This window comes from Homo sapiens, chromosome 1 (assembly GCF_000001405.40).
Source record: "Homo sapiens chromosome 1, GRCh38.p14 Primary Assembly".
In the NCBI taxonomy this organism is placed as follows: domain Eukaryota; kingdom Metazoa; phylum Chordata; class Mammalia; order Primates; family Hominidae; genus Homo; species Homo sapiens.
The window spans coordinates 61769236-61793718 of record NC_000001.11 but is presented as its reverse complement, the minus strand read 5'-3'; the positions used below and the strand labels follow the sequence as shown (position 1 = coordinate 61793718).

The 24483-nt window shown below is 39.9% G+C and overlaps 1 protein-coding gene across 23 annotated transcripts in view; it reads right to left on the bottom strand.

Moving 5' to 3' along the window:
• Nucleotides 1–24483, bottom strand: part of PATJ (PATJ crumbs cell polarity complex component) — a 421436-nt gene that overhangs the window by 370197 nt on the left and 26756 nt on the right. For 22 of the 23 annotated variants that reach the window (XR_007061928.1, XM_011540462.4, XM_011540467.4 and 19 more), the window contains exons 5-9: nucleotides 24297–24436; nucleotides 22093–22288; nucleotides 18385–18513; nucleotides 5747–5965; nucleotides 2272–2371 (exon numbers count right to left, since the gene is read on the bottom strand). Coding sequence is in view for 22 of the 23 variants with exons in the window: in XM_011540462.4 (XP_011538764.1) it covers nucleotides 2272–2371; nucleotides 5747–5965; nucleotides 18385–18513; nucleotides 22093–22288; nucleotides 24297–24436 (784 nt within the window). In the remaining variant the exon portion in view is untranslated. Of the gene's footprint in view, nucleotides 1–2271; nucleotides 2372–5746; nucleotides 5966–18384; nucleotides 18514–22092; nucleotides 22289–24296; nucleotides 24437–24483 lie in introns of those variants that run through there. The other variant, XM_017000000.2, reaches the window with a different exon arrangement.

The window sequence follows — 24483 nt, the reverse complement described above, 5'->3', positions numbered from 1 at the left end:
CAGGATCTGGCTCTGTTGCCCAGGTTGCAGGTTGGTGTGCAGTGGCACAATCACGGCTCACTGCAGCCTCTGCCTCCCCAGTTCAAGCGATCCCACCTCAGCCTCCCGAGTAGCTGCGGCTACAATTTTTTTTTATTTTTTGTAGAGACAGTGTTTCACCATGTTGCCCAAGCTGGTCTTGAACTCCTGGGCTCAAGTGAGCCATCAGCCTCAGCCTCCCAAAGTGCTGGGATTACAGGCATGAGCCACCAAGCCCAGTCCGCAGCACGCACTTGACATTTCCCCAAAACATCTAGCATTTTCATGATTTTACCTTTTCTCTAGTTTCTTTCTTCTGGTAAACTCTGACCTATCGAAACCCTTCTTTTCCATTCATAGCTCAAATGCCGCCTTCTTTGTGAATTCTCCATTTCCCTCTGACAAACTGAATATGTCATCTGCCATACCATGATAGTTTGCTTGTACAGTGGGCCCCGCATATCTGTGGATTTCACATGCGCACCCATAGTCCCAGCTACTGGGGAGTCTGAGGCACAAGAGTCACTTGAAAGCGGGAGGCAGAGGTTGCAGTGAGCCAAGATCACGCCACTGCACTCCACCTCTGGGTGACAGAGCGAGACTCCATCTCAGAAAAGAAAAAAAATGATAATAATAATTTTTAAAAAAGAACTAAGTGTTTCTTATATGTTTGTCTCCCTGAACAGACTTCTCTTATTCATTTTTCTACCCTCTCCAGAACTGCTCAAAAGTCCAATGAATAGAATAAAGCAAAAATCATTTTCAAAGACTACTTGTTAAAAAGCATGTTGAGTTGTGTTTGGATTTATGTGCTCCCTGCCACCCCTAATTACCCAGTCCAAAAAACTTTTGAGGGTAAAGAAGTAAAATGGGTCAGGCACGGTGGCTCATGCCTGTAATCCCAGCACTATGGGAGGCCGAGGCAGGCAGATCACCTGAGGTCAGGAGTTTGAGACCACCCTGGCCAACATAGTGAAACCCTGTCTCAGCTAAAAATACAAAAATTATCCGGGGGTGGTGGTGTATGCCTGTACTCCCAGCTACCCGAAGGCTGGGGTAGGAGAATCTCTTGAACCTGGGAGGCGGAGGTTGCAGTGAGCCAAGATCGCGCCACTGCACTCCAGCCTGGGCGACAGAGCGAGACTCATCTCAAAAAAAAAACAAAAACAAATAAACAAACAAAAGAAGTAAAATAGTAAAATGATACTTTCCTTTATCCAGTAATATAAACATTAAATTTTCTTAATGTTCTACCAGTCATTCACTTTCACTTAGGAACAAAACCATAAGTTTAGGAACTAATGATTCCTCTAACCAGACTTAACATATTGAAAACTACTTGATGTGGTTTTTTGCAACATTATTATACAATCCACACTGAGCTCTTTTGAATGTCATTAAATTCTGAACCTAAATAAAGGTGGCACGTAGAATCTAAAGGTTTGAAAAAAGATAGTTCATTAGGCTAAAATAACACAAGGTGGTCTGACATGAATTTCATTCAGGACTTTGAATACATTAGCACTCTTAATCCTTCCACCTGCTGTAAGTATGCAAAATAACAATTTTTTTTTAAGGAAATGAACTCTGTAATCTTGCTCTTAAAAAAAATTGAACATTTTATAACTCTGAATTTTCATATTATTAGCAAATATTTGTGGAAAGGTTTATTTTTTCTTACCCTAATAATTCTCTTATAATAAAGGAATAAATCTTATAGTGAAAGTTACCAAAGCTTTGCAGATAGGAGTTGAGAGAGTTTTAGTCAGGGATACTTGAATTGTGTACTTATTCTCATAGTTTATTTCTTTCACATGAAAAGAAAATAGTTCTAATGAAAATGCTTGTTTTAACTTTTTTTTTTAGTGATAAAACACAATAGTCATACTTTGGGAACATTTACAATATGAAACATATACAGAAATCAATTTAATTATCACAAATCTAATCTATCATAATATGTTAACAATGTTCATAATATAGCTATTTTACAAACAAGAGAAGATACAATTCAAATATTATACACTAAGCTGGCCAATTATATTCTTTTGTTAATGGATATCAAGCCAGCTATAAAACTATTGAGATAAAAATGTGATTCTGTAATCACTGAGAAGTGACTGCTTGCTAGTATAGACTCATGGTTTTATTGTTCAAGATTTAAATTAAAATCTGCAAGTATTTAATTTCACTATCTAGAAACCTTAACATCCTTTACAATTTCCAAATATAAAATAGAAATGATTCATTTACCTGTATGAGATGTTCCAACATAGCCAACAATTCTAATTCCAAGACTCTGCCCATCTTTTCTCACAAGCTCAACATTATAAGTTTCAAAAAGAGAACTGTCCTAAAAGGAAAAAACAAATTTAATTATATATGCTTAGTGGCATACCTGTGTGTACATAGTCAATCTGTGCAAGGTTTGTCAAGTATTTTCTTAGCATCTATGGCAGGCAGAATTTTAAGATGGTCCCATGACCTTCAATTCCTGGTGCTACTCCCATATTGATGCCATATTACATGGCAAAATGGAGACTATCCAAGTGGGCCTAATCTCATCACTGGAGTCCTTTAAAGGCAGAGTTTTCTCCTGCTGGTAGCAGAAAGAGAAATGAAAAAGATCTGAATCATTAAGGACTCAACTTGTGGTTTGAAGATGGAGGGAGTCACGTGACAAGGAATGCAGGGGACCTTAAGGAGCCGAAAGAGGTCTCTGGCTGGCAGCCGACAAATAAAAAGGGACCTCAGTCCTATAGTTGCAAGGAACAAGAATCTGCCAACAATCTGAATGAGACTGGGTATGGGCTGTCCCCAGGGCATCCAGAAAAGAGCCCAGCCAGGCCCACACTTTGATTTTGGCCTTTGTAAGAAGCTAAGCAGAGGCCAGGTGCAGTGGCTCACACCTCTAATCCCAGCACTTTGGGAGGCTGAGGTGGGTGGATCACCTGAGGTCAGGAGTTGGAGACCAGCCTGGCCAGCATGATGAAACCCCGTCTCTACTAAAAATACAAATATTAGCCAGGCATGGTGGCACATGCCTGTAACCCCAGCTACTCCGGAGGCTGATACAGGAGAATCGCTTGAACCCAGGAGGCAGAGGTTGCAGTGAGCCGAGATCACACCACTGCACTCTGGCCTGGGCAACAGAGCAAGACTCTGTCTCAAACAAAAAAAAAAAACAAAAAAAAGAAGAAGAAAAAGAAGAAGAAGCTAAGCAGAGAGCCCAGCCAAGCCCACCCTGAATTCTGACCTACAGAACTGTGAACTAACTATGAACTAACAAAGGATATTGTTTTAAACCAGTAAATTTGTTATACAACAATAGAAAGCTAATATAACCACTTAGAAAAAAGGCTGTATTTGTATCTGAAAGAACTATGAACATAAATTTAGAAACAAAACATAAGACTAATTATTGTTCAGTAATATAAAAATATCGACCTAAAACTTATTTTATTTTCTTCTTCTTCTTTTTTTTTTTTTTTTTCTCAGAGACAGGATCATGCTCTGTCACCCAGGTAGGAGTGCAATGGAGCAATCACAGCTTATTGCAACCTCAAACTCCTGGCCTCAAGCAATCCTCCCCCTTCAGCCTCCCAAGTAGCTGGGACTACAGGCGTAAGCTACTGCATCTGGTCCTAAGACTTACTTTCAATACTCATCTTTTAAACATTTCTGTAAAGGAGTAAGGTGTCTAAATACATAATACTTAGCTTTTAATTCAAAACATTAACATGAAAAAGTAAATAATTGATTGGATCAAGTTTCCACTTATCACATATCCACATTTGTCTCTCACTACAAAGTAGAAGGCTCCAGGGAACTAGAGTAATGGAGGAAAAAGAAAATGTAACCACAATTTGGAGAAACTTTTTATTTTTTTGAGACAGAGTCTCACTCTGTCACCGAGGCTGGAGTGTAGTGGAAGGATCTCGGCTCACTGCAACCTCCAACTCCCAGGTTCAAGTGATTCTCCTGTCTCAGCCTCCTGAGTAGCTGGAATTACAAGCGTGTGCCACCAATCCTGGCTAACCTTTGTATTTTTAGTAGAGTCAGGTTTCACCATGTTGGCCAGGCTGGTCTCGAACTCCTGGCCTCATGTGATCCACCCACCTCATCCTCCCAAAGTGCTCGGATTACAGGCATGAGCCACCAAGACCGGCTGGAGAAACTTTTTAAAGGTTCTGATATTTCAAATAGAAAACTTCCACTCATACTGTTCCAAGTAGAGAAAGGCAACAACTTCCCAGAATACACAGAATGACATCTCAGGTGATGATAATCAGTGGCCTTCCACCCTTTTCCACCATAATCATTTCTCTTTCCTTTTGTTTTTGTTTCAGTTTTTTTTTGTCTGTTTTGTTTTATTTTATTTATTTATTTATTTTTTTAATAGAGTCTTGCCCTGTTGGCCAGGCTGGAGTGCAGTGGTGCAATCTCAGCTCACTGCAACCTCTGCCTCCTCGGTTGACATGATTCTCCAGCCTTAGCCTCCCAAGTAGCTGGGACTACAGGTGTGTGCCACATCTGGCTAATTTTTATATTTTTAGTAGAGATTGGGTTTTGCCATCTTGGCCAGGCTGGTCTTGAACTCCTGACCTCAGATGATCCACCCACCTTGGCCTCCCAAAGTGCTGGCATTAGAGGCGTAAGCCACCGCATCTGGCCCATTTCTCTTTTCTTTCCTCTTCCTCCTGGACCCTCCCTTCAAAACCTATTTCTGGTCATCATGGTGGCTCACGCCTGTAATCCTAGCACTTTGGGAGACTGAGGTGGGCGGATCACCTGAGGTTGGGAGTTCGAGACCAGCCTGACCAACATGGAGAAACTCCATCTCTACTAAAAATACAAAATTAGCCAGGCGTGGTGGTGCATGTCTGTAATCCCAGCTACTCAGGAGGCTGAGGCAGGAGAATTGCTTGAATCTGGGAGGCAGAGGTTGCAGTGAGCCAAGATAGTGCCACTGCACTCCAGCCTGGGCAACAAGAGCAAAACTCCATCTCAAAAACAAAACAAAACAAAACAAAACAAACAAACAAACAAAAAACTTATTTCTTTGCTTTTACTTTATTATGTCTTCATTAAAAGCCCATGTTGAGATAATGGGAAGGAGTTTGGAATGGACCAGAAAGATGTGAATTCAAATTCCAGTTTTGCAACTTACTCCCTATAAGGTCTTTAACATGATGTTTGACTTTATTTTCCTCATCTATTAAATGTATAATAAGGCCTATCTGGCAGAATTACTGTGAAGATTTCAGATGACCTGAGCAATTCCAGGTGCTTGATAATTTAAAATAATAACTATTATTATTACATAATTAAAATAATTAGTATAATAAATATTATTGATATCCATTCCCTTTAACCAGCCTGTGGCTACCAGTGATAATTCTCACACATCGGCCAGTGTTTACAGTTTTCCCTCCACCACCTGGATGTCTCCTCACCAGCCCAATGAAATAGACAAGGCAAGTATTATTATTCTTCAATTTATAAATAAGTCACTGACGCTCAGGGAGGCTGAATGACTTAACCCTGAGAAACAGTGAAACAGAAAACCAACATGTCTAATGTCTCCCAATAAGTTTTTTTTTTCCTGTTTCACTAGTGAGCGCACAACTCACACCAATGTGGTGCTTCAAGTTGAAAGAATTTCTTATCTTACAGTGTGTCACACCCAGGCTTTGGTTTAAGATGAAAGAATGATATGTATACTCACAGAACCAGGGCCCTTGCTGGCTACAGTAGGCAGGGCAACAGGTAAGGCTGCAGGGGCAGGGGGGGTGACTGAAATGTCACCAGCTGGATCTCTAGCAACGAGCATCCTGACTGAATTCCCACAGTTCCTTAGAACTTGTGCAACTTGCTCACTGGTCATTCCCTGCACGTTTGTGCCACCAATCTTCAAGATGTGGTCCCCTGTCTGGAGTCTTCCATCCTTCAAGAAAAAGACAAAATTATTTTGAGAAATAAATGCTGTAACTTCACTGGTTAATAACAATTCATCAGACTTTCAGCTCTGGCAAAATGGCTGACAAAGAAGCCACCTAAAATGCTGAATAAAATGGAATACTGTTAATAACTGGTTGAAATGGCAAGAGTAAAGGAATTTCATGTAGAACACAAAGGAATGGCTCAAAATGAGAAAAGTAATCAGTATTCTAAAAAAGGCCTTTGTTGAGGGTATAAGCTCATGCCTAATGGCCTAGAGTTGGGTGTTAATGGTCACGTGTGCAAGGAAGAGGACAGAAAGGCCAGGGCCTCAAGAAGGAAAGGTCAGAACAGAAGCCTCCAGCATAAAACTGGGAACTTCACAACCAACATCCTCAGTGACATGTTTGAGGAATAGAAAGATGCCAGTGCGGCTACAAGAAAATGAGGAAAAAGAAGAGTAGTCTAAGAGATGGGAGAGTTAATGGAGTCAGACAGTATAGGGCATCTTCTTTTCATGATTGGGAAGAGAAGGCATCGAGCAGAGTTTTGAAACAGAGGAGTGACATTACCTGACTGACTTTAACAACATAATTCAAGCTTCTGTGCTTAAAATAAACTACAGAAGAGGAAACAATAGAAGCAAAGATACAAGTTGGGAGGCCTTAGCAATAATCCACAATAGCTTGGGTGTGTTTCACAGTTGGGGTGTTCAGAAGTGAGATTCTAGATAGATAGACAGATAGATAGATAGTTTTTTGTTTTGTTTTGTTTTGAGTCAGAATCTCACTCTGTTGCCCAGGCTGGAGTGCAATGGCATGATCTCAGCTCACTGCAACCTCCGCCTCCCAGGTTCAAGCAATTCTCCTGCCTCAGCCTCCTGAGCAGCTGGGATTACAGGCGCGCACCACCACGCTCGGCTAATTTTTGTATTTTTAGTAGAGATGGGGTTTCACCATGTCAGGCTGATCTCAAACTCCTGACCTCTTGATCCACCCGCCTCAGCCTCTCAAAGTGCTGGGATTACAGGCATAAGCCACTGCGCCCGGCCAAGATATATTTTTAATAAACTGTCAATAGGATCTGCAGATAGCTTCTATATGGGCTGTGAGGGAGGAAAAGGAGTCAAAACTCCAAGTTTTTAGCCTGAGCAACTAGAAAGATAGAGTTGCCATGAACTGAGATGCAGACTACAGAGGTACAGATGGGCGAGGTGGAAATCAGGAGTTCAGTTTCAGAGCTGTTGTCTTAGATACCTATTAGACATTCAAGTAGAAGTAACAGGTATACAGCCAGATACACAAACCTGAAGTTCAGTAGAGAAATCCAGACTATGTATTTAAATTTGGGAGCTGGGGAGAGGTCAAACAAACAAACAACAACAACAACAAAACACCTTGCGGGTCATTAGCACATAGGAGGTATTTATAGTCATGATTCTGCCAGCACAGTGGCTCACACCTGTAATCCCAGCACTTTGGGAGGCCAAGGTGGGTGGATCACTTGAGGCCAGGAGTTCGAGACCAGCCTGGCCAACATGGAGAAACTCCATCTCTACTAAAAATACAAAAATTAGCCAGGTGTGATGGCACATGCCTGTAATCTCAACTACTCGGGAGGCTGAGGCATGCGAATCACTTGAACCTGGGAGGCGGAGGTTGCGGTGAGCAAAGATCACGCCACTGCACTCCAGCTTGGGCGACAGAGCAAGCCTCTACCTCATAAAAATAAAATAAATAAATAAATAAGTCAAGATTCCAGATGAGTTGAAAGAAAAGATACATAATGTTATATTTCTTAAGCTAGGTGGTATGTATTACACACTGGTAATTATTGTTTTGTTTTGTTGAGATAGAGACCCACTCTGTTGCCCAAGTTGGTCTTGCAAATAATTATTGTTTTAATTATCATTTAAAATGTGTACAGATATTATATACATTCTTTTATATGTATGTATATTTCATACACAGAAGGTAAATAATAATTTATCAAAATGAGTATCTGTTCAAAGTGTTCATCATTTCCCTTCTTTGATAAATTTTTGAAACAGCTAATTTTTACAAAATTTTTCCTAAATTTGTTTAGTCAGAAATTCTGAATTCACTTTATTATAGTGTATTAAAGATACCACAATGTTAACACAGCTGGCTTCATTTAAACTTATACATGCAGAGCACCTTACAGGTTCAAAATCACTTTCATGTACCATCTCACTTAGAGAAGGACAACTTTCAAATGAGAAAATTGAGATACAAACAGTTTGACTGACTTGACCAAGGTCACAAAGCTGATAAAAAGGTTGAACCAAAGCTGAATCCAAGTTGCTCACCGAAGACTATTCTCATTTCAGTTATTTGCCTTATACTTCAGTATCTCCAGAGTAACATTACTGTAGCAAGTCAATCTCCTACAAGCAAAGGCTGCTAGTAGATAGTAAATTTATTGCTTTCCTATTCTCCAAGAAACTGCCTATAACTCTCAAAAAGTTTGAATGAAATGAAGATGAAAAATAGATATCCTGCAACATGGAGAGAAAGCTTGAAAAGAGAGCAATGACTACTGGGTTAATCCAGTTCTGAGCTTCAAATTCCTAGTTCCAGGTGGCACCACCGCAAGCTAAAGACGACAATCTGAAGGAAGAAGTTTTTTAAAAAACCCTTAGACTGAAAAGTCTATTCTCCATCCTTCCTTTTCTCCAATTTTACAGGAACCTAAATGAAGGAATGCTTTAGATTGAAATAATACGTACAAAGCTCTGTGCTTTGTTGTAAATGCTGCAGAAGCCACTAGAAGGGACTGGAAGTGTAGAGAAGTGGTGCAGCGGAAATGCAATTTAATTCAGAAACATCTGGAAAGACTTAGAAAACAGAAACAGAGGCAAGGAGGACATTGTTATGAAAAAAAGAATGAAGAATTGCTGGATTTCTACTTTAATAGTGATAATCTGATATTCTGTTTTCATGCATGCAACAGACTTGAAACAACATAAGCAACTACTTAAGAGAAAGTCAGTGGTGCTGATGAAAAATAAGGGTAAAGTTGCCTCTGTAAATCAAACTATTCTTCAACAGAATTATGCACTGATCAAAAAATTAAAAAATATATATGTCTAATAAGTGTTTTCATACTTGGCTTGGCCAAAGAAGGGCATTTTATCATAAAGTATATTTTTAGTCACTTCCTAGGCATTATTTTTCTTCTATTTTATCTCAACTCTTAATTTAAAATGATGTCGATAATTTGCATCTGTCACTGAAAGTCAAACATTTTCTTGCTACAGAAAAGCAGGTGTTCTGAAGAATTCATAAGTACAAAAATAGTCATTAGTCAGATTGATAGAAAGACACCAAAATGACAGCTACCTTGTCTAAGTCCAGCAGCCCCAGTCTGCATTTTATTGATATTTTCTGATCAACATTTTCCGTCCATAACCTGTCTTCTGTGTGAGGAAACTAAAAGGCATAAAGTCCCTTTTGTTCTTTAACAGAAATCATCAATCAATGAAAACCAATAAATAGCTATGCCAAGATTCAAGTACGTAGCGTGCTAATCAAACATTCACATATAAAAGTTTTATTAATCCATAGATTCTTTCAAAAGAGAAAAAAATTATGCATATTGGCAAAGATAGTATGAAAGGCAGAAAAATTAAAACAGCTGAAGCAACAGGGTATCACACACTTACAGTGAATGTACACCTGTAATCCCAGCACTTTGGGAGGCCGAGGTGGGCAGATCACCTGAGGTCAGGAGTTTTTGTTTTTGTTTTTGTTTGAGAGGGAGTCTCACTCTATCACCAAACCAGCCTGGCCAACATGGTGAAACCCCATATCTACTAAAAACACAAAAATTAGCTGGGCATGGTGGTGAGCGCCTGTGATCCCAGCTACATGGGAGGCTGAGGCACAAGACTTGAACCTGGGAGGTGGAGGATGCAGTGAGCCAAAATCATACCACTGCACTCCAGCCTGAGCAACAGAGCAACACCCTGTCTCAGAAAAAAAAAAAAAAAAAAGTAGCAACTCTGGGCTAAAAAAAAACTCACATTACTTTGCATTTTAACTTCTCTGATATGCTGTTGTGGATGATAATTTAAAAAAAAAATTTTAAACCTATAGGAATTCAGACCTGAGCTACAAAAGAAGAAATCAAATTTGTTTCTTCAAAAACTAAAAAATGAATCCAGGTACCATGGCTCATGCCTGTAATCCCAGCACTTTGGGAGGACTGCTTGAAGTCAGGAGTTGGAGGCTGCAGTGAGCTAGGATCGCACCACTGCACTCTAGCCAAAGTGACAGAGCAAGACTCTGTCTCTATTTAAAAAAAAAAAAAAAAAAGAAAAGAAAAGAAAGGAAAAAAAAAGGCACCAAATACTTCCACAACTCAGACAATGAAATCATAACTATGTTTGATTCCAGGCCAGTTTTATTATTGGTCTTCAATCAAAAGGCAACATGCCATTGATAGAAAAGGGTAACTTTACAAAATAAAATACACTGTTTCCCTAAAGGAATTAAAGAAACTATCCTATCCTACTCAAATTCCCAGAGCACTCATTAACTGATTTTTATAGATAAAGAAAATATCTGTTTATATAATCACTCAAAGCAAAATTGCTTGGGACTAACCAACCATTTAGTGACCTCAAGCTGGGCCTTCCTTACTCTACACTGAAAGTCTCTCAAAGTTCACATCCACCCTCAAACCCTTGCTTGGTTCCATTCCTTCCTAGTATTAGGTTACTGGGTAGTCAGTAGACTCATATTATAACTGTTTCATACCAAAATGTCAATCATTTATGACAACCTTTAAATAGGCTGTGTTCTGAAGACAACGAGGTATTCCGGTATACCTGACCGCCCTAGAACTTCGCCAGACCACATGAAAGAGGTTTCTGCACTTCAAGGGTTTTACACTGCCTGTTATCAATGTCACACAAAACAAAACAAAAAGTACCTCCCAAAAAAATGTTTAACTCTTGCCACAACTGATAGAATGTTCTCAAGGTGAGTGTTTCAAGCACTGTGAATTTTGGAGAGGCTCTGAGGCTTACAGGGAGATAGGCCTTTTAGCTACCCTTTTAATATCATAGAATTTCTCTATCCATGGAATTGGCCTGATTATATTAACTGATTGGACATTGTAACTAGATCTCAACAAATGTTTCTTAAAAGATTCCTATAAATCAATTTTTTAAAATAAATAAATGCTATTTTCTACTTCATTTCTTTTACATCATTAGCAGCAGGACACAACAGAAAGACAGGTAAGGGCTTTGGAGTCAGATGCACCCAAGTTCAAATCTTAGCTCTACTTTGGACAAAGTGTATGGCCAAAGGTCAGTTGTTCATCCTCCCTAAGTCTCAGATCCTTCTTAAGCAAAATGAGAATACATTTCTCTCCCAGTGGGTTATAAGCATTTTGGGAACTAAGAGGCATTGTGCTAAGCATGTTACATTGATTAACATTGAATTTTCACACAGCCTCTTATTTAAGGCAAGCAAAATTATCTCCTGCCAAAAAATAAAAAAAAGCATTAATGGCAGGCCTAAGACTACTTTCCTTGGAAAGGCCTTCTCACAAGGTTAGCCCTTGGCTAACACCTGGGAGCTTAGATTCTGTGAGGGTTCTCACCATTCCCTGGTAAAAATGGCTCTAGGTGCCTAAAGTGTAGTCTCTCCTGAACACCTGCATTCTTCTGCAAGTCTAGGACTTCGGTATATGCTACACAGTGTGTGCCTATGTGACCAGCATCCAGTAACAACCCTGTGCAGAGTCTCTGATGGGCTTCCATGGCAGACATTTCAGATGTGTGGTCATAATTCACCACTGGAAGACTTAAGTGTGTCTGTCCTATATGACTCCATGGGGAGCGGACTCGTGGAAGCTTGTGCCTGGTTTCCTCCAGTCTCCACCTCATGCACCTTTTCCATGTTGATTTTGCTTTGTATTCTTTCACTGTAATAAATATAGCTGTGGGTGTAACTGTATGCTGAGTCCTATGAAACCTCCTAGCAAGTCATCAAATCTAGTGGTCTTGGGGACTATTTTAGAAACATAGAATTAAGCCAAGAAGTCAATTGCCCAGGGTGAGAGGTGGATCCAGAATTCAAGCCTTCATCTGTCTGATTCTAAAGCTCACACACTATAATCCTATGCTCTTTCCTTTCAGAGGCTAATTTGGATGTAGGTGTGCTGAGAATTTCTCCAAAGGTAGATAATAGGGAGGGTGTATACCACATCTTGTGCCATAGCCTAGGGCCTGAGGGTGCTGCAGCTTAAGTCATTTCATGAGTTATAGAAAGCATAACATTGACTGGTAATAAGCAACAAATGGGGCCAGGCTGAGGAAGGAGATAAGTTGGTTATAGCAAGAAGGCTGAAGAGATTTTATCTGCCATCAGCTGACATGAGAGGAAAGGAGAAGTGAATAGTGCTCTGTCCCCTATGGCTAGGCCTTACCATATGCCCTAGAAGAGATAATAGCTCTCTTGTTCCTAGAGCTGGCTACTCCCTGTTGATGGATGTGAACAATTGTGCACAGGTGTATATCAGGAAAAGGAAAACACTAGGATTAACTTTGGATAAATTCAAACAACAAAGCTCAGACTTCAGAATCAAACAGGTACGGGCTCAATCCTGACTTTGTGGCTCACCTAGCTGCTGTAACCTAGGGCAATTTCTTAATGGTTTCCATATCTATAATTTGGGAATAAAACTTCTAAGAGTATTTTGAAGGTTACATGAGAATAATGTACATTAAGCAGATAACAATGTCTGGCGTAAGTACTTCCTTCTCTTTGAGCACTTATGACCCTATGACAAGCATACCCTCTACCTCCTCTTTGATGATCTGAAATAGTGACGATCCCTTCCAGTAAAGGGCGAAAATCAGACTTGGGCTTTTTCCAACAATGCCTCAATGGGATTAATCTGGGAAACTCTGCACATCTTATTCTTGTGAAAATTCATAAAGCATGTTAGTATTTTAAAAGCTCAGAAAATTCTTACAGTAAAGAAACCTATTGGATTTTGTTTAAATTTACTTGACCCTTTGTTGTTCACAATAACCACTCCACTTTGCATTTTGGAAAAAAAAAAATGCCACTCCAACAAACAAACCTATTAAAATTGCTAAGGCAGAGGCAGGAGGAGGGAGGGAATACAAAGAAAGGCATCCCAAAATTTTCTGCAATATTTTATTATTTCCAGGTTATAAAAATTTTTTTTAAGAATCCTTAAAGAATATTGTGTTGTGCCACAGATGTGTGTGGTTTTTGTTTGTTTGTTTGTTTTGAGAAAGAGTCTTGCTCTGTCGCCCAGGCTGCAGTGCTGTGGCGTGATCTTGGCTCACTGCAACCTCTGCCTCCCAGGTTCAAGCAATTCTCATGCCTCAGCCTCCTGAGTAGCTGGGATTATGGGCATGCACCTCCACACCTGGCTAATTTTTTGTATTTTTAGTAGCGACGGGGTTTCACCATGTTGGCCAGGCTGGTCTCGAACTCCTGACCTCAAGTGATCCACCCAGCTCGGCCTCCCAAAGTGTTGGGATTACAGGCATGAGCCACTGCACCCAGCCACAGATGTGTTTTAAAGGTCTATAAAATGAACATTCTCAAACATTCTGGTCTCAGAACTTGCTACAGTTTGGATGTTTGTCCCCCCCAAACCTCATGTTGAAATCTCATCCCCATTGTTTGAGGTGGGGCCCAGTGGGAGGTGTTTGGGTCATGGGGGTGAATCCCTCATGAATGGCTTGGTGCAGTGAGTTCTTGCTCTGAGTTCTCTGCAGTGCGTTTACTTAGTGCAGTGAGTTCTCACTCTGATTGTTAAAAAGAGAGTTGCCCCCCACCCACCACTTCCTCGCTGCCCACGTGATCTCTGCACACACTGGCTCTCCTTCACCTTCCACCATGGAAGCAGCCTGAGGTTTTCCCCAGATGCCCAATTTTCCAGCCAGCAGAGCTGTAAGCTAAATAAACCTATTTTAAATTACCCATCCTCAGATATTTCCTTATAGCAACACTAAATGGATAAAGACAGAACTCCTTTACATTCTTAAAAATTATTAAGGATGGAGGGATAGGAATTACAAAGTAGTACGGGAATCTGCTGGGGGTAATGAATACGCTCATTATCTTGATTGTGGTAATGATGGTATAACAGTTAAATTACATGTGTCATCTGGGCTGTGGTGCTGACTGTTTTGGTCAAACACTAATCTAGATGTTGCTGCAAAGGTATTTTGTAAATGTGATTAGCATATACAAACAGTTGACTTTAAGTAAAGGAAAATTACCCTCAATGATGTAGGTGAGCCTCATCCAATCAGTTGAAGAATTCACAAGCAAAAACTGAGCTTTCCTAGAGAAGAAATTCTGCCTCAAGAATGTAACAGAGCTTCCTCAGACATTCTGCCGGCCTGCCCTATAGATCTCAAACACAAGACTACAACATCAACACTTGTCTGGGTTTCCAGCCTCCTGGCCTTCCCTACGTATTTTGGACTTGCCAGCCCCCACCATGGCATGAGCCAATTTTTTAAAATAATATCTTTTTTAAAGTAATCACACGCATGTCCTATTGGTTCTGTTTCTCTGGAGAAATCTGGTAAAGATGAATCCACAAATGTATACATATGCAAAAATTGGTACTGAGGAATTTTTAAAATATTTAATATTTAGTATGTTAATTTTTATCATTTATGTATATTATGTCATTATATTTTTAAAAGAGCTATATTTTCCAAAACAAAAAATATTCGCCAGGCTTGATGGCTCACACCTGTAATCCTAGCACTTTGGGAGGCCGAGGCAGATGGATCATAAGGTCAGGAGTTCCAGACCAGCCTGGCCAACATAGTGAAACCCCATCTCTATTAAAAATGTAAAAATTAGCCAGGCATGGTGGCACATGCCTGTAGTCCCAGCTACTTGGGAGCCTGAGGTAGGAGAATCGCTTGAACCTGGGAGGCAGAGGTTGTGGTGAGCCAAGACTGCACCACTGCACTCCAGCCTGGGCAACAGAGCAAGACTCCATCTCTCTCTCTATATATATATATATTAGTAAGAGTGGGACTGTTTAATATTTTTACAAATCTCTTTAATATCTGGCTTAAAACAGCTGGACTCATCTGCTTCTGCATTCAGTATGTTACAATATACTGTTTTGGATGATGTATATGAAGAATATCTGGCCTCAATCAGATATATAGTTGGAAAGGGGAGGGGTATTATAATAGTCCTTTCAGCCTATTCTTTGATAACACACCAAAACTTGGCAAGTGGTGGTTTCTTATACAGTTACAATGTAGAATCTGGAACCATATCAACAAACTTTCAGACACTATTTTATTAAAATCCACTGATCTATCTTGATTTTTGAAAGGATCTTTTAGCTACATATTATTTTGTCATATCACATATTGGTCTTCAGAAAATATTGAGGCTGGGTATGGTGGCTCACACCTATAATCCCAGCACTTTGGAAGGCCTAAGCAGGAAGATCGCTTCAGGCCAGGAGTTTGAGACCAGCCTGGGAAACAAAGCGAGACTGTCTCTACAAAAAATAAAAATAAGGCCAGGCGGGTGCAATGGCTCACACCTGTAATTCCAGCACTTTGGGAGGCCAAGGCGGGAGGATCACTTGAGCTCAGGAATTTGAAATCAGCCTGGGCAACATGGTGAAACCCCACCTCTACAAAAAATAGAAAAACTAGCTAGGCATGGTGGCCTGGGTCTGTAGTCTCAGCTCCCCCAGAAGCTGAGGTGGGGGGATCACTTGAGCCCCAGAGGCAGAGGCTGCAGTCAGCCAAGATAGCACCACTGCACTCCAGCCTGGGTGACAGAGTGAGACCCTGTCTCAAAAAAATAAAAATAAAAATAAATTAGCCTAGCATGGTGGTACATGCCTGTAGTACCAACTACTCGGGAGACTGAGGTAGGAGGACTGCTTGAGCCTGGGAGGTCGAGGCTGCAGTGAGATAGGATCACGCCACTGCACTCTAGCCTAGGCAAAAGAGCAAGACTATGCTAAAAAAAAAAAAAAAAAAAAAAAAGAAAGAAAGAAAGAAAAAAGGAAGAAAATAGAATATCCATTCACAGTTATGCAGACCTTCCAAATACCGACATATTTCATCATATAATATCAAGACAATCATATTGGTTAATATCAATCAACAATCTAATCAGAAATGCCTTTCTTTTCTTTTGTTTTTATTTTTTTTCTTGAGACAGGGTCTTACTCTGTCGCCCAGGCTGGATGGAGTTCAGTGCCACAATCTCGGCTCAAAGCAGCCTCTACCTCCTCCCACCTCAGCCTCCCAAGTAGCACCATGCCCAGCTAACTTTTGTGTCTTTTGTAGAGACAGGGTTTTGCCATATTGCACAGGCTGGTATCGAACTCCTGGGCTCAAGAGAGCCTCCCACCTTGGCTTCCCAAAGTGCTGGGATTACAGGCATGAGCCACCACGCCCAGCCTTAGAAAAGCTTTTAAGTATTAGGGAAATGTCATGCTTATGGTAAAATACAAATTTTCCAAAATTCTAATTTTTTGCTTAAGCTCAAATTTTATTGTTGCTAACAAACAGTGTCAGTTGTTTTCCTTGAAATAACAGGTTCACATCATCCATTCTCAAGAAAACATCTTCCAAATACCCAAGTCTGGATAAACATAATTTTTCTGCACTTATTTTTATAAAAATAAAAATGTGTTCCACATAAAAAAGTAGCAGATTTGGCTGGGTGCGGTGGCTCACGCCTGTAATCCCAGCACTTTGGGAGGCTAAGGCGGGCGGATCACGAGGTCAGGAGATCGAGACCATCATAGCTAACACGGTGAAACCCCGTCTCTACTAAAAATACAAAAAATTAGCTGGGCATTGTGGCAGGCACCTATAATCCCAGCTACTCGGGAGGCTGAGGCAGGAGAATGGCAAGAACCTGGGAGGTGGAGCTTGCAGTGAGCCAAGATCACGCCACTGCCCTCCAGCCTGGGCAACACAGCGAGACTCCATCTCAAAAAAAAAAAAAAAGTAGATTAATCTTGCAGGTGACTTTCCTTAAGACAACCATCAAACTTCAGTACATAGCAAGAATGCTAGGTGGTACTTCCCATTTTGACAATATTCAAAAGACATGTACTAAATGCCATCAAACTTCAGTACATAGCAAGAATGCTAGGTGGTACTTCCCATTTTGACAATATTCGAAAGACATGCACTAAATGATCAAAATTTACTAAAATTAATCATTTTACTGCATCTTAAAAAAATTCAAGTAAAACGGCATTTTTTTTCTTTTTTGTTGCAAGCACATGGCAGAAAATAATGCAATCATTACTATAACGGTTTGTGGCCACTGCCTTTGTTTTGCACCAAGGCACCAGCAGTTTTAGCCTGCAGCTGCTTTTGTACCATCAGTACAAATGTTAGCAGGGTGAAAGGGATAATAACATTGTGGTATTATTGTAAAAGCTGTTTGGATCTCACAGACCACCTGCAAGGCTCTCAGAGCCCTCCAGAGGCCCACAGACCAAACTTTGACAACTGCTGTTCTAAATAAATACTCTTAGGAGCTGAAATGATGATAGGAACATCAGTGGCTCCACAAGCTGCATAAGGTGAAGCAATAGTGATCAGAAATGAAGAGCCAAGGAACTTGCCTTGAAGCTGCATTTGCATGGCAAGTTCATTTTTACTTACGTATGTCTATCAAAAGGGATAAATTTATATGTAACTGGGCAATAATCAGTGAAATTTTACATATCATTCTGATTATGGGAATAACTAAAGTTATTTCTGATTTATCATGCCTATTCTATATGATATGGGCTTATTATTACGTGGCTTCAGAGTCAAATTTCTAAACTAATTTCTAAAAACTAAATGTAGTAATTAACATTTCTTCAATATAAAATTAAGCAGAAACAGTTGCTAATTTTTTTAATAGCCCACTTTCAGTTTAAACACTGCTAAACAATGAAAGGTAGTCATTTAACTTATAAGACCATAAATTTTAATTCAAGTGAAATTTACCATGTATAATATTGGGACAAATGTTTATAATCACTGTATCTTCTGATTTTAACATTTAGGTCATCGAAAGACACACTAGAGGAGAATAATACAGATGTTCAAAATGCAATATTCATTAACAATGCTTTTCAATAAAAAAAATTGTCCTCTGATGTAATCATGAAGCCTGTCAATTATAAGCAAAACAAACCCCAAAAATGTTGATTTAGGAACTGTTTAAAATAAGACTGAGTGTAGCCTAATAATACTTACAGAATAAATCATTTTTAAGCTATACTTAAATTCTTGTTATTAAGTCATATATCCTGGTAACTCATGTTATAAAATTACATTTCAATTCATACAACTTAAATTTTATAAAACCAAAATGATAACAAGGAAGGTTGACTTACTCGATCTGCTAATCCTCCAGGAACTATAGTCCTCACAACCACGCCACTTGTTTTTCCTCCAACTATTCCAAAACCTAGTCCAGAGCCATCATTAATGAGCTCAACCTCTTCAACATGGCCCCAACAAACCTACAAATTAATGGCAAATAAGAGTCGCAGTATCAGTAATACACACAGGTTCTTAGCTTTCCAATACAATCATTACCAAAGTAACAGATTTGCAACAAATTGAACATTCATGCAATTAATCAAGGCAATGTTCTACAGGCTAAGATATACAGACAGAGATAATCATATGGTCCCTGACCGTAGGGATCTTATAATCCAGTAGAGAGAAACTAAAACACAAATAATTAAAATACAAGGCAGAATATTGGATCATAAGGCACTAGCCCTAAGAGCACAGGAAACATTTCTCATTCCTTACGCTGCACTGGATATCCAGCACAGGGCCCAGCACATAGTAGGGACCAGTAAATATGTGTCTGCTTGAAAGAGAATCACAAAATATTATAAAGATTTTTTACAGGGAGGGGAGCACATGAAGTCAAAACCAATGAAGAATTACAGAAAACTTCAAGGAAAAGGGGCATTTAAGTTGCACTACAAAGGAAGACATTTAAGCAAAAAGAAAATATAAGGGCAAAGCTAGGCCAGATAACACAATGGATGAAAGATATGGTCAAAGGTTGGATTTAACTGGGTAATCAAGTGGAAATAGTTAAAGGTTTAGAAGAGAAATGACAGGACCAAAGTAGTGGTTTAAGAAAATTCATATGTGAAGAATCTAATGGTGGTAGGACACGAAGTGTCCTATAGACGAAGTGGAGAGACTAATGAGGGAGAGGACAGGTAGGCCCCATTAAAGATATTAGCAATAGGACTATACAAATCAGACTAAAAGACATAAGTGTTTCCCCTCTAACTAGCAGGTTTCTATAAGAAATGTGCATTACTTCACATAATCCACCTGCAGAACAATATCCTCCCTCTCAAGATCATTAGGGCATACTCATTACTTAGTTTTTCTTTCTTTCTTTCTTTTTGAGACAGGGTCTCACTCTGTTACCCAGGTTAGAGTGCAGTGCATGATCAGAGCTCATGTCAGCCTCAAACTCCTGTGATCATCCATCCTCCAGCCTCAGCCTCCCAAATAGCTGGGACTACAGGCATGTACCACCACGCCCAGCTAATTTTTTTTTTTTTTTTTTTTTTGAGATGGAGTCTTGCTCTATCTCCCAGGCTGGAGTGCAGTGGTGTGATCTCGGCTCACTGCAAGCTCCACCTCCCAGGTTCACGCCATTCTCCTGCCTCAGCCTCCCGAGTAGCTGGGACTACAGGTACCTGCCACCACGCCCGGCTAATTTTTTGTATTTTTAGTAGAGATGGGGTTTCACCGTGTTAGCCAGGATGATCTCGATCTCCTGACCTCATGATCCGCCTGCCTTGGCCTCCCAAAGTCCTGGGACTACAGGCGTGAGCCAAAGTGCCCGGCCATTATCTTTTGTAGAGGTGGGGTGTTTTTTTTTGTTTTTTGTTTTTTGTTTTTTTGAGACAGAGTCTCACTCTGTCACCCAGGCAGGAGTACAGTGGCATAATAGCTCACTGCAACCTCCGCCTGCCAGGTTCAAGCAATTCTCCTGCTTCAGCCTCCCGACCAGCTGGGATTACAAGCATGCACCACCACGCTTGGCTAGTTTTTGTATTTTTAGTAGAGACAGGGTTTCACCATGTTGACCAGGCTGGTCTCGAACTCCTGACCTCAGGTGATCCACCCACCTCGGTCTCCCAAAGTGCTGGGATTACAGGCATGAGCCACTGTGCCTGGCCATAGAGGTGGGGTTTGACTATGTTCCCCAGGCTGGTCTCAAACTCCTGGCCTCAAATGACCCTCCTGCCTAGGCCTCCCAAAGTGGTGGGATTACAGATGTGAGCCACCATACCCATCCAGTTTTTCTATTACACTAAATTGCAAAGTTACTATGCAGTCTTAAATAAAAAGCATTATTGGAGGGCCGGGTGCAGTGACTCAAGCCTGTAATCCCAGTACTTTTGGAAGCCGAGGTGGGCAGATCATGAGGTCAGGAGTTCGAGACCAGCCTGGCCAACATGGTGAAACCCCATCTCTACCAAAAGTACAAAAAAATTAGCCGGGTGTGTTGGCACGTGCCTGTAAATCCCAGCTACTTAGGAGGCTGAGGCAGGAGAATCACTTGAACCCAGGAGGCGGGGGTTGCAGTGAGCCGAGATCACGCCCTGCAGTCCAGCTTGGGTGACAAAGCAAGACTCCATCTCAAAAAAAAGCAATATTGGGATTGTTTAATAAATTCATGTCTAGAACATCTACTATCTGGGAAACAATAATGTTTGCTAAAATAATGTGCCTGACAATACCAGCTGATAGCAGCCAATATTCAGAGAACGTATATGCAGCACCAGGCACAGTGCTTAGTTCTTCACGTGCCTTCTCATTCAAGCCTCATAACATCTCTGAGAACTAGACATCATATCTTCAAAGGAAGATATGAGGTAAAGGAATCTGCCTGGTGTGACACCACTAGGATATGGGAGAAATAGACTTGAATGCATCCAAACCTGACTCCAAAGCCCTTGTTCTTTATACGTTAAACAATGCCCCACTTTATTCACTGTATTTATTATGTAAATTCTGCTGTATAAATATTGCTGATTACAACAGGGAAAATGCCTATACATTAATTTTTGTTGTGACCTTGTATTGTACTGAGACAGTCTTATTTTTTCTTTTGTCCCAATGAATAAAAATTAAATAAATCAGCTAGCACTTAGTGTTATAAGAAAATAAGATTTATTAGCTTGCATTCTGACGATGCAAGCCAAAATCTGTAAAACGTTAAAAAGCAAGTTCAAGGGTTCCCAAAAGAGACATACACTTTTATTCTTTCAAATTGTTCAGTATGTATCTTTACATGAAAAAAAGCCTGCTATAATTTTGCAATATCAATAATCTGGTCATAAATCCCCTTATAATTTTCAAAAATAATGTTTTTCAAATAATCAAACCTTACTTTAAACACTCAACAGTAAATCTCTAATAAAAACTCTCAATTAATTGGCTACATCACCAAGGAATACAAGACTCTCCATCACTAAATAAATTACACCTAATACTTCAATTTGGCCTCCATATTAAATAATAATCTTAAAGGGACCCACAGGACATTGAAAAGACAAAAAAAAAAAAAAAAACGACCGTCATGAAACATCTTGTTTAAATATGCTAACGCTGCATTCAGAGATATGATCATCTTTTTTAACCATGAAAAGTAAAACGGGCCAGGCACAGTGGCTCATGCCTGTAATCCTAGCACTTTGAGAGGCCAAGGCAGGTGGATCACCTGAGGGCAGGAGTTCGAGACCAGCCTGGCCAAAATGATGAAACCCCGTCTCTACTAAAAATACAAAAGAAATAGCCAAGTGTGATGGTGGGCGCCTGTAGTCCCAGCTACTCGGGAGGCTGAGGCAGGAGAATCACTTGATTCCAGGAGGTGGAGGTTGCAGTGAGCCAAGATCTGGCCACTGCACTCCAGCCTGGGCAACAAGAGCGAAACTCCATCTCAAAAAAAAAAAAGGAAAGAAAGGTAAAATGACACCTTCTAAATGTCTTTACACTTCTTACGATCAATGGCATTATTCAAAATTAAGTATTTTTTCAAATTTGCAACTCACTGTTTCAGGCAGAGTTGTATCATTTAGGCTGCTAGAAGTACTGCTTTTTGTGTGGACTGGTTCCCTGGCCACAATCAGTCTCAAAGATCCAGTGGTTTGTTGTAATAATGCAATTGCTTGCTGATGGGAAATGTTCTGATCCAATGGCGTGTGATTAATGGCCAATATTTGATCATTTTCCTTTAATCTTTGATCCCTTAATCATGTAAGAAAAGAAATTTTTTAAGTGATCTAATAACCTGATTTTTAAAAATCTATTAAAGTTAAGCAGTTTGTTGCCTATGGTACTACTTTACTTAGTACATTTATCAAATAAATTATTTAATTATATAACAGAGCTCTTCAGAGTGTTTTTCACAGAAGTTATTAACTAATTACCTAATTTGGTAGTGCATCCTTAAACACACAGACACACTTTAAAAGCTATCTGCCTAGAAAAATAAACAAAAACAATCTATAGGACCCCACCGCCAAGGTTTTGCAAGTATGGACACTGCCTCCATTACTGCATGAACCCAAACCTCCCGAACCCCTTCCAATCTGATCTCTACCCATACCACACTGGGGTAACAATATTCTCAACTACACCAATAACCTCCTCTCACCCCATCTTCACTGTCTACTTGTCCAATATTTATCAATAGAGGCCAAACCCTCCTTGAAAATTCATAGAGATTACTTCCAAATTTATATCTGAGCTTTTTTTTTTTTTTTTCAGGCATGGTCTCACTCCTATTTGCCCAGGCTGGAGTACAATGGCACAATCACACCTCACTGCAGCCTCAGCCTCCCAGGCTCAGGTGATTCTCCCACCTCAGTCTCACGAGTAGCTGAGACTACAGGTATGGACTACCACACCCAGCTAATTTTTGTATTTTTTGTAGAGATGGGGTTTTGCTATGTTACCCAGGCTGATCTTGAACTCCCAAAGTGCTGGGATTACAGCCATGAGACACTGAGCTTGGCCAATCTGAGCCCTTTTAATCTCTCCCAAGCACCAATCTCCCAACTGCTAGCCAGGGTAAGAAGGACTCTTTTTAAAAGAAATTAGCAAAATCTCTAAAGAAAAATAGTATTTACTGAGCACTTATCATGAGTCAGGTACTATGTTGAGTGCTTTACATGCATTATCTCACATAATCCTCACAATCACCTTTTAAAGTACTTAGTAAATTTTAAATATTAAGGAACTGAAGCCTAGACAAGCCTAGCATCTTATCAGGAGTCAGATTCTGAAGCACAGGCTTGAACTTCTTATGTTAAAGTGCATCCTAAAGATAGCCTAGGATTTACTCTGTCCTGGTTTACTGTATTTGATTTTATTATCTCCCAAACACCAGATATTCTTCCTCTTCCTGTTTACCCATTCTCACTACAGTTCTTGAAGAAATGCTGCATTAGATGGCAGAACAAAGATGCAAAGTCACGGAAACTCATTATGTTTGAAATCTGAGTTGGGGAGACTAGAATTAATCCCCCAAGAATGGAGGATGTGAATTCAAAAATGTATTATCAACTAAGAATTTTATAATAATATACTACCATTGTTGCTATTATTCTAACACGTGCATTGGAATAGCATACTTATTAAATGAATAATAAACCAAAGACTGGAAATCAAACAGAGACAAAATAAAAGGCTTGCAAATACCCCTTAAAAAATAAAAGCAAATGCAAACATGGGAGATAACATAGACTTGAGGGGCCTCTTAACTGACAATAAGCATAATAAATCAGGTAGAGTAACATGACCACCAAAATGTTGTTATAATCTTAAGAATAATAAACAATATAATATGCAGAATGAGAACTTCAATATTCCTATCTTACTGATCAGTCCATAGCTAAAATACCATGTTCAGTTGTAAGAGAGGGAAATAGCGCACTAGCTTTGCAGTCAGATGGTCTTGGAATCACATCATGGCTCCAGCATTAACAGCTCTGTGACTATAGGTTGACCACTGAACCTCTCTGAATCTCAGCTTTCTCATCTACAGAATGGAATGATGATACCTATATAGTGGAACTGCTGCCATGGGGTATAGGATTTTCGCAAAAGGCCTGACAAATGCATAGCAAAAACGAAAGCAAAAATGTTAGCTGTTACTGTTACTGTTTTTATTACTAGTTTTTCACTCTCTTTATAATAGTTTTCAGAATTATCAGGAAACAATTAGCAAAATGAAAATAAACAGCTTCCTCACCTGTCTGCTACACTCCCTGGCTGGACATCCTTCACGAAGATATCAACTTTTCCGAGATTTTGACTTCTGAGGGCCACCACACTGAATCCAAGGCCTCCAGTTGAAGGCCGTTCTATATCTATATATTCAATTTGCCGGCCCTAATGAAGGAGCGTTAAAAAAAAAAGTCAATGGTGTACATTTAGCC